General features: G+C 36.1%; 1 long non-coding RNA gene across 1 annotated transcript; it reads right to left on the minus strand.

Annotated features, from left to right (window-relative positions):
* Nucleotides 1-12,397: 12,397 nt before the first annotated feature.
* LOC124901972 (uncharacterized) lies at nucleotides 12,398-13,018 on the minus strand. The gene is made up of 2 exons (XR_007060995.1): nucleotides 12,863-13,018; nucleotides 12,398-12,774 (listed from the first exon to the last, which is right to left on the minus strand). It is a non-coding gene; the product is annotated as an uncharacterized LOC124901972 (long non-coding RNA).
* Nucleotides 13,019-13,333: the final 315 nt, after the last annotated feature.

The raw sequence follows: 13,333 nt of genomic DNA on the forward strand, positions 1-13,333 counted from the left end.
TATTTCTTTGCTTAGAGGTGAGTTATGCTAGAAGTTTTTGTCAAACTGCAATCAGCACCATCAACAGCTTAACCTTTCCTCCATCAATTACTTCTTGATCTCTAGTACTAATAATCAAGAGGCTATTATAATTGTTTCTGGAGCCACTAAGATCTCAGTTCTTAGCAATTGATGCTAATTTTTATATTCTACAATAATTAACATTAATCTCGTTTTCTCCTCTGTTGGTTTCAACTGCTGAGAATATATAGAAACTATGGCTGATATTATAATGTACTGTCAAAATGATTTTCAGCATGCCGAATCAAGCCTAAAAATATACTGAAAATATAAATAAGTTGGTTTCTCAGTCAATGCCACAATACTTTTAATGTGGGTGTTCAAACTACTATTCAGTGTTCATGTTGTTTTTAACTTGGGTTTTACAGTAAGAGATTATTACCTTTTGAAACCTGGCATATCTACCCAGTGAAAAATAGCATTCATGTTATATATCTCTTCCTTCTTTACTTCAAAAACAATGCTTTTTCAGGATATTTCTTTATCACCTACTTCTACATAGAAAAGATAAAAATCGACAGAAATGTGCATAGCAGCCATTTTGCCAAAAAGCAGGACGCAGCAAAGGGAGGTATGAGTCAGGTCTATATTGTGCTCATTCTCTTGATGATCCCAGCATAATGAAACTAAAATCCTACATGGCAAATTCCCTGGAATTTCACATTTTGATTCTGTTCAGTCAGTAAATGTTATTTTGCTTGGTGCTTAATCTTGTTAAATAAGGAAGAAATTTCCACAAGGTTTGGTACCACATCCAAAACCAACTTTCTCATATGAACATAAACATTGACTCAACAGCTCTAAAGGTCCTGAACTTCAGGGTGTGGGATGAAACTACTTTGTGGGTTTATGTCTGGTGTTTGCTGTTTTTCAGTGTTTATGTATCAGAATCTCACCAGCAACTACGTGACATGTTGGATAAGCAAGGTGTTAAGTTGAAGTCAAAGTTTTATAACAATCTGAAAAAAGCATCATTTAAATTTAAAATAAGGGAGGCAAATACTCCTGTGTGATCTCAGTTAGGTATGTACACAAAGGTTTACAAAGGATCTTAGCTTCTCTACTTTATATAAACAGATTTTCCTTCTAAATTCACTGTGGTAATGACATGAGGTAACATATATAACCTACAAGGTCACGTTCCAACCATAATCCAACCGTTCTGGTGGCTCCATATTAGCAAGCTGTACAGTCTTTGTTTTTAACTTAATGGCCACACGTTATGCCATTTTGTGAGACACAGGTTCATTAGACCTTCTGTTCAAGAGCCTTAAGGCCACAATTCATTCTGACTCTGCAATTACCGGTGATAATTTTTATATGCAGCCAAAATTTTCAATCACAGTGGGAAGGTTTGCATAATGTGTGGCTTTTTGCTGTTCTTTCTGATAATCCCATGTTGGGGGAAAAAATCATTAAAGATGTATGCTGGAAAAGCATCCATACTGCATGTGCCAATTTACTGTTTTTCAAAAGAGCAAACTCTAGGAAAGGGAATATGGGGAAATAGAAGATATCAGCACATTTGATTTTTTTTATAAACAGTTTATGTTGGTTTGTGATAGATATAAACCAGGAGGAAGATAGCTGGTAACCTTCCTTGTTGGTTATACTACGTAAAAGCACCAGTCTTCAAAGCTTTTTAGTTCTTTGAAATATATTCACTGTAAGTTACACCTTTAGGTGAGTTCTCCTAAATATATAGTGCTTTTGAAATTAATCTTGAAAGCAACCAACTAAATTTTTAGATTATAAGTTATTGTCACTGAGCCTTTTCTACTAATTTAAGAGATGCTGAGTGGAAGTCTGTCAGGCAAGAATTTAAATCACTTCTGGCCAAAAACTTGGAGTGAATCCATTAGAAACCCGATGTTATGCAGAAACTCTAATTGGAAGACAAATAAAGAGAGAGCTATTCCTATGCAGGATCCTGGGGTTTGATTTGTAGGTTATCAGTACACGCTGACCTAGAACAGATTTTACGAGACAGAAAGAGTCTGTGCGTTTAAATAAACAAATATGAAATCATGTCAACTGACCACTGTTTTCAAAGATTACAGTCTGACACCATAAAAGCTCAAGAGACATTATTTCTACCCAGGAATTCTGTGGCTGTTGGGGTACGTTCGAAGTGCTTAAAGAAAAGAGAGGAGCTTGAAAAAATACATTGAGAGGTTGCAATATTAATTAAACTTACACGCTAAGAAGAAAGAAAAAGAGAGAGATAGAGGGAGGGTAAGAGAGAGAGACAAAGACAGAAATATGGTAGCAACAGTGAAAGCTTTCCTTGAGAGCTGAATTAAATTGTTTTGAGCAAAGTGCATGCATCCTTTAGACTGGAGGAGGAACCATGTATTAATAGTCCCAGAATTTTCGATGAGGGGAGCTCTGTGTTGACCTGCAAACCCAGAGAGGAATGAAACTGATTTATATTACACACAGCATATTTACCTTTACTCTCTAGCAGCAACAGGCCAGCAGGGCAGCCGTGTTGCTCTGATGCATAACCAGTGACTTGGGTTCCAGTCTCATGTAGGCTAGTGACTGGATAGGCCATTTCAGGTAAATCACTTAGACTTCATTGCCATCAGTTTTTCTCAGCTTTAAAATGTGGATAATACTGATTTTCAAAGACTAGGACAGGTTTAAACGATATAATATGTGACTGTTTGGGCTTTGTAATAAATATACACTATACATTTGTCAATGATTCATTAATTTTGGGAGGAAGCAGACTTTTCTGTGGAGAAAAGGCACAGACCAAAACTCTGGTAATCTTATGTTCACTGAGGGAAACAAAATGGAAGAACACCACCTGGCATATAATAATTATTAACTCTCTTCCCTGGCCTGGCAATTTCCCCATCGTAACACAGGCTACTGCCACAAATTCCTGGAATTGATTCAATGCACATGTCCTTGTTTCCAAGACCCTAAGTAAGTTGCTAGGATACCACTGGGACCTTTTAGCACTTTATTTTCCTTTTCTCAGTATACTATTGGAGAGGTACGTCCTTTTATAAATTGGAACATAATATATTCCTCAACTTGACACATAATGGCCCATAAGTCTGTGTTGCATATAACTAGCTATGTTAAATTTAACAATACTAAGTCTTTTAGGTGATAATTGTTGGATACTTTAGGCCTATATTCTTTAACAGTTTTTAGGATATGTTTCAAACACTCAGTTTTTGCTGCAAACATTTCCTCAACTACCGACAATTAGTGAATGCAAAAATGTGGTAAAGGAACAAAATTTCCAGGTAAAACTGGTGTCATTTATGTGCATATGTGTTCCAAATATTTTAATTGTGCTTCAAAAGGAGGTACTATATTATCAGGTGGATTAATAATGATATCATTTTCTAGTTTTCTCTCAAACTAAATGAATAACCATCTATGGAATCTTTAGCCCCACCCTACTTCCACTTTCTATGAAGGGAGAAAAAGGGAAGTGGACATGTTATTTAACTGTTGAACAAGTGAGTTGCCTAGCAACAAAAAACAAGTTTCAAAAGATTAGGTCAATAATGTCCAACTAAATCTAAGAGCAGTCAAACAGCATGCCCTTGGGTATCAGACCCCAGTTTGGGTTCTAAAATTCAAACATACAATCTTTACTATGTATTTTCAATAATATCAATTTATTTAAAATTGAGTTTCAAACAAAAGTCACGGCAAAATGATAAAACTAAAGTAATCCATGATAAATTCATTTCCACAGAACCTCAAAGTTGTGGATTCTCCCCTAATGTTTAGGTTCAAATTGTCCTGTACTTTCCAAGACAGGACAAGAATTTGCAGTACAGTTATTAAATGAGAGAATTCTGTTGCATTAAGGTAGTCAGCTATTTCCTCATCTGGGCAGGCTGAATCTTTCCCAGTTTAGATCAATGAGTATGTGTATGGGTCTACAGGAAGTCAAATTTACTCAGCGGCTTGTGAATTTTGAATTCACAGAAGATTTTATGGATGATGTAAAAGAGGTGATTCAAATCCCACACCCCACGTTAATTGCATTGAGTAATCTGTTTGATTTGGTTTCTTCAACCTATCCTTTGGCCACTACTAGTGGTCCCCCAGTGCCTTCCTTTGACAGCCCCTCAGCCTTTGATCTGTTGTGTGCAAAGTGTTTCATCTCTTCCCCAATTCCTCTGTCACACTCATCTAGGAACCCAGCAAGGCCTAAGGCAGTGTAGCCTGATGTTGCGACTGTATCATCCTGGGAGAAAGGGGAATCACAGCCATCACCACAAGAAGTTTAGTACCATTTCCAAGAAAAATCTCAAGTCCTAGCTTAGGTATCACCTGAACCACTTGCTGAAAAAAAATGAAAAGATCTGAGATTTGAAAAATAACTGTTTGCTAAGACATCAAAGTGAACATGACTGTTTCCTACAAGAGATGAGTCCCAGTGTCTAAAATAGCCTCTTCTCATTCTCATGTGCAATGGGATATGAATGCAGATTCACAAAGAAACTTTCTAATTAGTACACAAAGGGAAATTCTAGGAAGAGTGGAACTCATGTGAATTGCATGAAAAAAGCCATTCAGCTACCTTTGAATCATGACTTTTCCCCTAATTTCATAACCTTTTCTCTAAATTCAAAACACACAGCAAAAAGGCAACAGAAGCAAGGAAGGAAGAAACAGGCTACCTCAATAGTTGATTAAATTCCTGAGATTTTCCTACCTAGGGGGTGTTCTGGGATAAAAAACAATTTGAAGAAATAGTCAAACCCTCTGATTTAGTATAGGATTTCTCCTTTCAAATACAAAGCTTGAACTGATTCTAATGAGTGTGCTGGGAAGTGTCAAACTGAAACTGCTGATGCTTTTCTTTCCTACTCCACAGTACTTCCACATTGAGTCCTAGGTTTAAAAAAATCAGCTATTCTTTTCTATTATTTTCCTTTTTATCTTATTTAAAGGAAAACAAACAGTGAATGCTTTGAAATGAACTTGACATATTAACCATGATCATTGCTACATGCCCTGCTTTTATTTCTCAAAAGTTCACAACAGGTCTCTTCTTTCTAAGTCTCAGAAGCTGTGCTAAGCCACATAGATCACTTGAGGACTCATAGTTTAACCTTCTCCCATAATCCTAAACTAGAGTCAGACTTGAGGAATGAGATCTTGTTGGCTCTTTCCCAAGACTACATTCAAGACTACTCATCATTTGCTTAGCCTCTTCAACCAGCTTATTTCATTGTCTCTCTGGTTCACAGCAGCTTTATCTTACAACTGGCCTAAGCTGGAATTAACAAGCTGAATTTCCCAAAACACTAATCAAAACTACTTGCAGAAAACACATTATCTTCAGTTTCCTATAACTCCAAACATAGGGGAAACTAAAAAGAGCTGATTCATTTTGCATTTTCTATTTGGGTTTGTAACAGGATGTCGGAATGTCTCTAATAATATGAGCATTGTCCTTCAAGATGGTCATATCTAGATACTGAGTGCTTTCTCTAATAAAGTTCCCATTGTTAAAACTGTGAACAATGCTTTGAACATTCTGCTTTGGAATTACCTTCACTACTGATTTACATGTAATATGAGGGATATCATACTACTTTTTGACCACACCTCACAAAGGTCAAAATTTTCTCAAAGAAAATTAAATGGTGTGGTTTAGACACAAAGTTTTGAGTGTCTTTGAGAAATGATCCAGTATAACTATTCAAGACAAAGGCTGTGGAAATCTTAGACCATAGTTACGAGTCAAAACAAAAATAAAGCAAGCTGTGCCTTCCATATATGCCTGAGGCTATGTCTCCAAAAATTTCTAGTTAAGTGTAAAATGTTCAGCCAATTATTTTCTTATGCACTGCCAAAAAGTCTTATTTGATTTCGTTACTTATTTTATGTATTTATGCGTTTTATACCCAATCAACTAGTCATAATATCTGCACAGACTCAGTTTCAGGAAGATCTCTGCTTCAGACTCAGAGTATAATCATTAAGATAGTAACATAATAAAAATCCTTTCAAGAATCTTTATTACTTATTTATTCTAAAATAAATTCTTCATAATCACGATGGTTTATCTCAACTCTCTACAGAGCCTGCAAAAAGTAATAAGACTTTAAACTTCAGGTGCTTCAACACCTAAATTTCCTACAATAAAGATTTATATTTAAAAAGTCTCTTATTTTAAATGTTTAAATGTTCAAGGGTTTGGGGTACAACAGTATGAGTTATCATGTTCATGTAAAGGGATAAAATACTCTGCAGAAAAGCCAGAAGGATGTAGAATTGAATGTCAATGTCTAAGTTTTATGTGAATGAAACAGAGTGCTATGTATTGGAATGCCCTGAGGAGTGCAGGCAGCCGTAAAAAAAAAGTTTCAACAGAGAAAGTGGCCCATTTGTTGTCTGAATTACAAGGTCATTGCATTGGTCTATACAGCAAGCATCAAATTAATTACTTCTCTTTCAGATTTGACAATAAGAAGACAATAAAGCATAAGTGGTGATAGACATATATAGTTCAGTTAAATGAGACCGAATTGTACTAAATCATAACATGATCATGGTTGATTACAGCATTAACAATCCAACCATGCAAATTCATATATACAGAAAATGTACATGCACTCACATACAGAGGATGAACTATGTGATTGAGAATCTGTGGGTTATGTTTGCGTGTCACATTTCTTTAAGAAATATTAACCAAAAACACCACTCAGAGGTGAAAGAATCCTTCACCAACCAAAAAATACTCTTGCAAATGGAACACAGAAATTCTGACATTTGAACAAAAATTAAACATTGAAATGTATTAGGTCATGCCAAACATTATTGATGAATATATGTACAAACAATTTATGATGAACACTAGAAATTTTCTTGCTTGCATAATGCAAGGTATTATATCATTATTAATATCACTATTTTATCATTTGTATATAAAAGACAACAGATATCCTCTTCAAATTATTGAATTTTAAGTATTTATCTACAAAGGATTTGAAAAATTGATTCAAAAATGGTGATAGAGTATGTGTTATTATCCCGGTGTATTACTGAATGTGTCAAAATCCTTTACACACTGAATGTAAATTATCCCTAAAAATCATATTTAAAATTTGTTCCACCCTTGCTTATATTTTTGGGGTGACTGAAGCAGTCCCTGATTAGTTAGCAAGCACTTCTTTAGTATATGCTGTAAACAAAGGTCCAACCAAATTGGATCCGGTTTAGCCAATAGAAATCTAGCTGTCAAAATCTGCTCCAGCTTTCAATGTCTTAGACTTTCATTTTCTAAGTGGACATGAACCTGAAGTTTGGTCTAGTCTCCAAATAAGAAAACTGCCACTCTAAATGTGATTATCTTCATGCTGCACCCTAGTGATCATCCAGTGTGGTGTAGTAGAATGAATGCAGGATATGGAGTCAGGACACTGATAAAAATCCCGCAGATACAAAACACTCTTCAGAGATAGCTGTGTAACGTGGGGCAACTGGGTCTTCTAGATGTGTAGCTTTGGGCAACTCGTTTGCATTTCTGACCCTCTTATTTGTTTTCCAATAAAAAAAATGGAGATTTTATCATGCTTGCATAAATCTAGAATAATCCATGCCATAAAGATTAGATTTGAAATGATAGTTACTCTGATGATTAATTTTAGGTGTCAACTTGACTGGATTAAGGGATACCCAGATTGCTGGTAAGCTATTATTTCTGAGTATGCCTGTGAGAGTGTTTCCAGAAGAGACTGACATTTTCATCACTGAGCTGAATAAGGAAGATCCATCCTCACCAATGTAGTCAGGCACCACCCAATCAGCTGAGGGCCCAGATAGAACAAAAAGAGGAAGGATGAATTCTTTCTCTCTCTTCTGGAGCTGCAACACCCATCTTCTCTTGCCCTTGGATGTCAGAACTCCAGGTTCTCTAGCCTTTGGACTCTAGGACTTGCACCAGGGGCTCACCCCAGATTCTCAGGCCTCTGACCACTGACGGAGAGGTACACCATTTGCTTCCCTGGTTCTGAGGCCTTCGTACTTGAACTGAACCATGCTCTAGGCTTCCCTGGTTCTTCAGCTTGCAGACAGCAGATCACGGGACTTCTCAGCGTTTATAATTATGTGAGCTAATTCCCCTAATAAATCCCCTCTCATCTATCTATACTATTGATTCTGCCTCTCAAGAGAACCCTGCTTGATATGGTTTCCTTTTATAAAACTATTTTCTCAGTAGTAATATACTTTTTACATTCTTGAATTTATGCATTCTGCTTTTCAAAGTAATACCTACAAATGCCACACCTGAATCTCCACTGATGTCTTTGCATTACAGCTATTAATACATGTACATATATGTGTGTGTTTTATGGACTGAATATTTGTTCTCCCTAAATTCGTATGTTGAAGCCCTAGCCACCAATGCCTAACCACCAATGTGTTGGTATTTGGAGATGGGTCTCTGGGAGAAAATTAGGTTTAGATGACATCACAAGGGTGGGACCCCTATGATGGGATTAGTGTCTTTATAAGAAAAGGAAGAGAATCAAGAGCTCCCTCTCCTCCCTGCCACCTCCTGCCCCACCCTGTGAGGACACAATCAGAAGTTGGCCATCTGCAACCCAGAAAGAAAGCCCTCTGCTACCTTTATCTGGGACTTCCCAGCCTCCAAAAATATGATAAATAAATTCCTACTGCTTAAATCATCTACTCTATGGCAGCCTGAGAGAACTAAAACATAATTACACACACACACACACACACAAAGATACATACAAACACACACTCAGGTATGTGTATTTTTTTTCAAATTTAAATTTTCAAAAGGAAAAATATAATCCAAATACCCAGTATGATTTTAGCCTCTTTAATCTAGGTTTTTTTCTATATGACTTCTCTTTGGGTTTAAGGACAATCATTATTGGTCTCTTCTTGTCAGTGGAAACTTACAACGGAGAGAAGGAATTTGGATTTTATCTCACAGGTAATAAGAAGTCACTTTTCATACTTGGACAGGGAGTTAAAAATAAAGAATATTAGTCTGGCTACTCTGTGTAGGATATCCAAGGTAGATCAAATGTAAGAAGTCTAGAGGCTGCTCATGTTATTCAAGTTCAAAATGATAAATGGTAAATTAGAATTGTGCTTATAAAAATACAAATAATTGTATTGATGCTTTGGAGTTGAATGTGCCTGAGTTTAGTTCTTGCTTCCATGATGACTAGCTCTGTGGTATTAAGTCTCGACTTCACTACGTCTCAGGATTCTTCTTAAAATGGGATTAATAAAGCCAACCCACTGCAAGATTGGTATAGGGTTTTCAAAAGCCAGAGCTGTTAATAGTCAGAACTGATATTGGCAGCCAGTTCCCAATGACTAGATCTGGATCCAAGCGGGTATGGAGATTAAATGAGATGGTTAATGCTGAGTGCTGAGCAAAGTGCTTAACACATAGTACATCTGCTATTTGGCAGTTATTGCTGTTATGCACAGAAAAATTGGAGGGGGTTGGCTGTCATAATATTGAAACTGGTTGGATATAGAGAATGCATGAAAAATAAAGTTTAGAAGATTTGATATTTGAGATTTGGGCATCAAATTGAATTTGAATCTACTGGGACTATTAGGTCTTACAGTATACCAGCAGAATTTTTGGAAGAAGTGAAAAAGCATATGCAGATATGTAAAAGTCTTTCTTCTTGAAGGAAAGGTTCATAATGATCTTTATGATTTAACTGAGAATATTAATGTCATAGTTAAAAACCAAGCATTTGAAGAAGTCATAATATGATAACTTCTTGAGACAGAAAATAATAAATTTAGATAAGATGTGTTAAATTCCAGATGATTGAGAGTCTTATTAAGGACTCGGCCCGCCCACCCTCTACAAATATGAAAATATCTAACAGAATTTGAAAATATAAGAATACATGAAAGGCAAATTATTAGGGTATTATTAGAACTCAGTAGGTGATTTTATGTGTGTTTGTATAAGAAAAACCTTGGATGAAATGACTTGAAATTAGAGCAAAAGGGCTTTAGTAAATTTTATGCTTTGTATAAGCAAATTTCTATTTTATCCAAAGGAAAATTGGATTAAATAATAGAAAACAGTAGTCATACATAAAATAATATATTATTAGAGAGGTTTATTTTCTCATACACATTGTTTCCTATGTTCCACATTGATTAAATAAGAAAACATAATTAATAGCAGAATATTTGCTTGAAAATAATAACATAGTAATATTGTTAATATGTTATCACAAAAAGTGTATTGTGAAACCACAGATGTTTGATATGGTTTCAAGCATCGTTTGTTTATTATAATAAGACATTGTGTTACACTATATTAAGATATTACACTTATTAAAACAAATTCTTTCAATCTATTAATACTACACACTGAGTAAAGAAGGAGGGATTAACTCAAAAGGAGACAATTATAAAAAAATCTGAAGATGAAATATAGCTTTCAGAATTTAAAAGAAATAAAGTTGAGTTTTAAATTATCTGGGAAGACCCTATAGTTTCAAGTTAATGAAAGTAAAATGGCCTTGGCTGGGTGCGGCACTCCCAGCACTTTGGGGGGTCAAGGCAGGCGGATCACCTGAGTTCAGGAGTTCAAGACCAGCCTGGCCAACATGGCAAAACCCTATGTCTATTAAAATACAAAAATTAGTCAGGTGTGGTGGTGTGCACATGTAATCTCAGCTACTCAAGAGGCTGAGGCAGGAGAATCACTTGAACCCAGGAGGTGGAGGTTGCAGTGAGCCGAGATCACGCCATTGCACTCCAGCCTGGGTGACAGAGTGAGACTCCATCTCAAAAAAAAAGAAAGAAAGTAAAATGGTCTTAACTCATAAAAAACGCTATCTCTTCTATAGAGGAAACAAACTGGCAAACAAACTTCAATTGTTAAGATTACAAATATCTGTTTCGGGCAATGGTTTTAGATGTTTGTATAAAATAAACCCATATTTCCTTCTGGAATATGTAAATTCAAATCATTTAAATTAACATTTCCAATCCTCTCTCTATTCTATTTTTGTTTTGATGTTTTCTTTAGAAGCGTTTGTGATAGAAATGTGCTTTCCTGTAATCTGCACACCTTAATAAATACTTGTATATTGCTAATGTATATACTGCTTATATGAGATTCATATTTTAACAATGGATGTGAAATTTTATAGACTACAGACCTCAAAACCCTGAGCAGAGGCAGTCTGATTGAAAAACTACATCAACCCAATATAAGGATTGTGGCTTAGATGACGAAAATGTCTTTATATTATTAATTCAGTCACCTCATTGATTTGTCTACCTGATGACCCGTACCAAACAGACACACAACAATAAATTTGGTTCACTGAAAGCATTTTAACTAAAATTCGCCAGATGTTGGCAATCACTCATTCTCAATCCACATCTTATCTCACTGATGAAAGAAGAGAATCCCACAAGCCCTCAGCTATTCATTAACAAGTCAAGCAGCTCTCCATGGAGGCAAGCCCTTCACATGCTCCGTGGCCCTTTCTCTGATTGTAACATTTGTGCATTTTTCTTTGGCACTAAAAAAAAGAGAATTGGTCCCAGCACTTCTGAACATTTCAGGTGTTTATAAACCGCCCAAATGGGGACATGGTCGCCACTCCTCTATTCCTATTGGTGTTACTTGTCTTTTCTTTTCTTTTTTTTTTTTGAGACATTTACAATTCCTTCCCTACCCAGCGGGCAACATGGAATGACTTCCACTTCCTTAATTCCCACAGCCAGTCCTGCAAATCTCTCAGTCCACCCACCCACTACAGATGCTCAGATGTGTTACCTCTCTTCGATTCCTTATTACCTTTCACCTGAACTACTGAAAGAGCCTTCTATAAATACTCTCATAAAGCAGTTTTTTCTTGTTTCACTTGATTTTAATTAATTCATAAAGTTATATGATATATCTGGAATTAATTTTTAAGGCTAGCATAAAGTGGTACTTGAGGTTTACTTTTACATAGGGCTATCAGTTGGTCCAGCACAATTTACTGAAAAGGCTTTTCCTTCTCTATTGTATTGCTGTGTTATCATTGTAATGAAATGGAAAGACTACATAAGCATGTCTATTTTTACATTCTCTCCCCTCTTCCATCAAACTACTTGATTCTTATTTCAGTAGCACAAAGTGTTGACAACTACTAAATTTTGACTACTAAATCTTTATAGTCAGTGTTCAAGACAAGAAGTCCACCAACTGTTATTTTTCAAAATTGTTTCAACTATTTTAATTTTTTTCCCTGTCCATATAAATTTTAAGATTGGTTTGCAAATTTAATGAGTGCTTATGTAAATACAAACTTATCAAACAGTATACTTTAAATATGCGCAGTTTATTGTACATAATACTGTTTTTTTAAGTGTTGTAGGTTTTCACTTCCAGGAAGATAGAACAGATGTACTTTTCTCTATTCCTTCAACTAAACAAAATGAGAAATCTTGGGAATTATATATAAAACAAACATAAAAAGATGCTGAAAGGTAGAAAGAAGAAGGCATACCAGATAGGAAATCTGACACCTGAAGAACAACATGGTAGAGAGTTTTCTGAGTTTTCTTTTTGACTCATATATCTCAGGCTTAGAACTGAAGAAGCCGGTAACCTGGAAACATCAATGTGCAGAAACAAAAACAGTAAAATAGCAATGAAAATCAGCCGTCTCTAGCCAAATGGCCAGGAAAGGTGCAGCCCTGCAAGACAGAACATTTTTAAACAATAACCACTCCACTCAAGCGAAATTCTATAGAAAAAATTAAATTAAATTAAAAAGTGCCTCACCTCATCCATATCAGCAAAGTGTGATTGAAGAGCCTGGACTTTCATTCTTAAAGACTGTAACAAGGTAGTCTAAAACCTGCACAGAGGTGGTCAAGAACAGGCACTTAGAAAAAAATGCTTTTCATCCCCACCAGAAACTGATAAGGATCCCCTAGAATCCCTGATGAAGTGGTGTCAGAGAAGGGCTAGTGGAGACCCAGGATTATGACTGTGTAGCTGTGGTGTCACAAGGGGCCATGTGAGAATGGAAATGAGACACTAATGAGTTACTAAACCGCTTCCCGCCAGTGGGGAATAAGTGGAAGCTTATTGGGGAGCCAAAACTTCCCTGTCTGCCCACCAGTAATGAGAAGCACACTACCTCAGGCCTTAATGGATGCCAAGTGTGGAACCTGGATTTCTACCCAACCTAGCAGCAAAGGAAGCAGGGACTTCCTTCCTCTACTGGAGAGGTGTCTGAAGAAGCAAGCC

Source organism: Homo sapiens, chromosome 8 (assembly GCF_000001405.40).
Source record: "Homo sapiens chromosome 8, GRCh38.p14 Primary Assembly".
In the NCBI taxonomy this organism is placed as follows: domain Eukaryota; kingdom Metazoa; phylum Chordata; class Mammalia; order Primates; family Hominidae; genus Homo; species Homo sapiens.